At 50.2% G+C, this 3,676-nt stretch overlaps 2 annotated features.

Annotated features, from left to right (window-relative positions):
* Positions 587-756: an enhancer, noted in NCBI's record as "experimental_38793 CRE fragment used in MPRA reporter constructs". NCBI's record gives its function as "activates a minimal promoter by MPRAs in K562 erythroleukemia cells, with activity observed for both the introgressed and non-introgressed 14:95219561 or rs372202597 variant alleles {active_cell/tissue: K562}" and the evidence as "EXISTENCE:reporter gene assay evidence [ECO:0000049][PMID:34662402]".
* Position 672: a transcriptional cis regulatory region, noted in NCBI's record as "Neanderthal adaptively introgressed variant 14:95219561 (GRCh37/hg19 assembly coordinates) or rs372202597 in the experimental_38793 CRE". NCBI's record gives its function as "modulates activity of the experimental_38793 enhancer by MPRAs in K562 erythroleukemia cells {active_cell/tissue: K562}" and the evidence as "EXISTENCE:reporter gene assay evidence [ECO:0000049][PMID:34662402]".

Raw genomic sequence — 3,676 nt, forward strand, 5'->3', positions numbered from 1 at the left:
TGAAGGAAAAGAGGAAAAAAGTTGCTTTCATGCTTCCAAGATTGCCGTAACTTGCCCTAGAGAGAACAAAGGGGCATGAGTTATTAGATCTGTTTTATACTTGAGACAACTGTGTCTCTGAGAGATTAAACGGTTCGCCTGTGTCACCAGGCTGGAGGGGCCGCGGGAAGCAGAGCCAAGTCGCTGGTCTCCACCTCCAGACACAAGCTCTTCCCACCGCCCCATCCTGCCTGCGAAAGCACTTTTACTGCCGTCTGTCGACAGTCACGTAATTTGGACCAAATGCAGACCAACCCCTAAGGACAGTAAAAAATAGAGACAACCTCAACGATTTAACTGAATGGGGTCAAAATGATTGCAAATCGCTCATTTCCAATGAGGATCTAAACAAAACCAAAAGCAAGCTGGAGCATGTTCTGTCAATCTGGCAAGAGATGCTACAGGGGCAAGTGTGAGGAAGAGGCCACGGCAGGTCAGATCTCTTTCCCTCTGCTCTGAAAACAAACCACTCTTCCTAAAAGACAAACACATGCCATCTTCCTGGGCAGTGTTGGGAATGCCCTAGACACTAAAACACTGCGACATCCTTGAGGTCGATCAGCTTTCATTGCAAAGAGACACGCTCACCCTGTGGGCTGGCTGGCGGTCACCTCCATCCCATGGAGAAGCTGGTCACTATCCAAATGACCCCTCTACTTGGAAGCCCTCAGCGCGGCTCAGCCTGGAAACCGTTGCTATGTGTGGGGAAGGTTTTTCCCTAAGCAGGCGCTGAGAAGGCCAGTGGACATCCCTGTGGAGCTGGCCCATGGATGATTAAAAAGAAGACAACAGTTTATCAGCCAGGCCTGTAACTTTCCAGACAGAGGCAGAGAGATTTGCCGGATGGGGAAGAGCAGACTTTTGGGGGAATAAAAGGCAGGGTAGCAGTGCCCAAGTCAGGTGTTCAAGGTCCTTCCCTCCACCCAGAGAGGTGAGAAATGATGGGGAAGGGAAGAAACACAGCCTCTGGAGTCAGACAGAAGTGCTTTTGCAACGCCTCCCTGACGTTTCTAGCTAAGACACCTCTGCTCTCTGTGCCTCAAGCTCCTCATCATCAAACAGAACAAAAAATTGTCCCTGCTTATAGGCGGAGGGTGCAGTGAGGCCTGGACAGATTGAATATAAAATGTCCAGCACTGTGCCAGCATCGTATTCAATGCTCAATATGTGGTGGCTGATATTAGTAGCATCACTAGGGTAGAGGCCCACAAAGAGCCTCATGAGGTGTCTGTAGATGGTGGAAACTCAGGTGGGTGCTGCTGGTTAATAAAACTGGGAAAATCAGGTATGACTTAAGAATTCCACCACCTTCACACCTGTAATCCCAGCACTTGGATGGGGCACGGTGGCTCACGCCTGTAATCCCAGCACTTTGGGAGGCAGAGGCAGGCAGATCACTTGAAGTCAGGAGTTTGAGACCAGCCTGGCCAAAATGGTGAAACCCCGTCTCTATAAAAATACAAAAAATTAGCCAGGCATGGTGGCAGGTGCCTGTAATCCCAGCTACTCAGGAGTCTGAGGCAGGAAAATTGCTTGAACCCAGGAGGCGGAGGTTGCAGTGAGCCGAGGTCGCGCCATTGCATTCCAGCCCGGGCGACAGTGCAAGACTGTCTCAAAAAAAAAAAAAAAAAAAAAAGAATAGAAAGAAAGAAAAGGTACATTCAAGACAGAGAGAGACACAGGGAAGAAGGCCACGTGAAACAGAGCCCAAGATTGGAGTGATGAAGTCACAAGCCTAGGCACGCCTGGATCCACCAGATGATGGAAGAAGCAAGGAATGGGATCCTCCTGAGCACCTTCAGAGAAAGCACAGCACTGCTGAGACCTTTGATTTTGGACTTCGGGCCTCCGGGACTGTAAAAGAATAAATTTCTGATGTTTGAAGCCACAGACTTATCATCCCACATTTCTGAAGCCCAAAAGCAAGGTGTGGCCAGGGCTGAGCCACCTCCAGAGGCTCCAGGGGAGGATGCAGCGCCTGCCTCTTCCAGGTACCTGTGGCTTTTGACAGTCCTCGGCTGGTGGCCCCATCATGCCACTGTCTGCCTCCATCTCACATGGCCTCCTCCCCTGTGTGTCTTCTCACCTTCTCTGCTTCAAATCTCCCTCTATCTTTCTCTTATGAGGACACCAGTCATTGGATTTAGGGCCCACTCAAATCCAGGATGATGTCATCTGGAGATCCTGAACTTAATTACATCTACAAAGATAAAAAGACCCTTTTTCCTTTTTTCTTGCTTTTTTTTTTTTTTTTTTTTTGAGATGGATTCTCACTCTGTCGCCCAGGCTAGAGGGCAGTAGCATGATCCCGGCTCACTGCAACCTCCACCTCCCAGGTTCAAGTGATTCTCCTGCCTTAGCCTCCTGAGTAGCTGGGACTACAGGCACATGCCACCATGCCTGGCTAAATTTTTTTGAATTTTTAGTAGAGACAGGGCTTTACCATGTTGGCCAGGCTGATTTCGAACCCCTGACCTCAAGTGATCTGCCCCCCTCTGCCTCCCAAAGTGCTGGGATTGCAGGTGTGAGCCACCGTGCCTGGCCAAGACCCTTTTTCAGAATAAGGTTACAGTCACAGGACCTGGGTGTTAAGCCTTGAATATATATTTTTGAGGGACACTATCCAACCCACTACAGGAGGAGAGAAGGGGGGTGCCCAATGCTTCTGGAGACCCTATGTTTCCCCAAAGGGCACCTACTAAAGGACCCACAAAGGCCTTCTGAGAAGTGACAGGCTCAGTGGCCTGCACTGCAAGGCAGGTGCCTAGGGTATGGCAGGCAAGTCCCCTGAGGCCAGGTCTCTGACTAGGCCAGGTAGAAACAGACACATCTATCCCATGAAGAAACCTAGATGTGGGGGAGTCAATAAAGAATGTCAGAGCTGAAAGGGACACTGCCAAATACAGTCCAAAGTCCTTGTGCCACTGGGACACCAACACTCAAGCCTGGGGCCAGTGGCCCAGCATGCTGACATCCCCCGAATCATGTGAGCCACTCAGCAACCCTGACAGGTGGACAAGGCAGGACTCAAGACTTTTCCTTTTTTTTCTTATTTTCCTTTGGAGACAGAGTTTTGCTCTTGTTGCCCAGGCTGGAGTGCAATAGTGCAATCTTGGCTCACTGCAACCTCTGCCTCCCAAGTTCAAGTGATTCTCCTGCCTCAGCCTCCCAAGTAGCTGGGATTACAGGCACCCACCACCACGCCCAGCTAATTTTTGTATTTTTAGCAGAGATGGGGTTTCACCATGTTGGCCAGGCTGATCTGGAACTCCTGACCTTAGGTGATCCACCCGCCTCAGCCTCCCAAAGTACTGGGATTACAGGCATGAGCCACCATGCCCAGCTTCTATTTTTTTTTTAATTCTTTTGTAGACAGGGGTCTTGCAATGTTGCCCAGGCTGGTCTCAAACTCTTGGTCTCAAGCGATCCTCCCGCCTCAGCCTCCCAAAGCATTGAGATTGCAGGCATGAGCCACCACCTGTGGCTGATGACTCTTCAACAAATGGGGAAACTGAGGCCTAGAGATGTTGAGTGTGGTGGTCAAGTTTCCCTGAGCCGGAAAGTGGTTGGAGGCCTAACTTCTGACAGCTAATACAATTCTCTCTTCTGCCCTGTTCCTCCCCAGCCCTATGCTTAG

The sequence above is a fragment of the Homo sapiens genome, chromosome 14 (assembly GCF_000001405.40).
Source record: "Homo sapiens chromosome 14, GRCh38.p14 Primary Assembly".
NCBI lineage: Eukaryota > Metazoa > Chordata > Mammalia > Primates > Hominidae > Homo > Homo sapiens.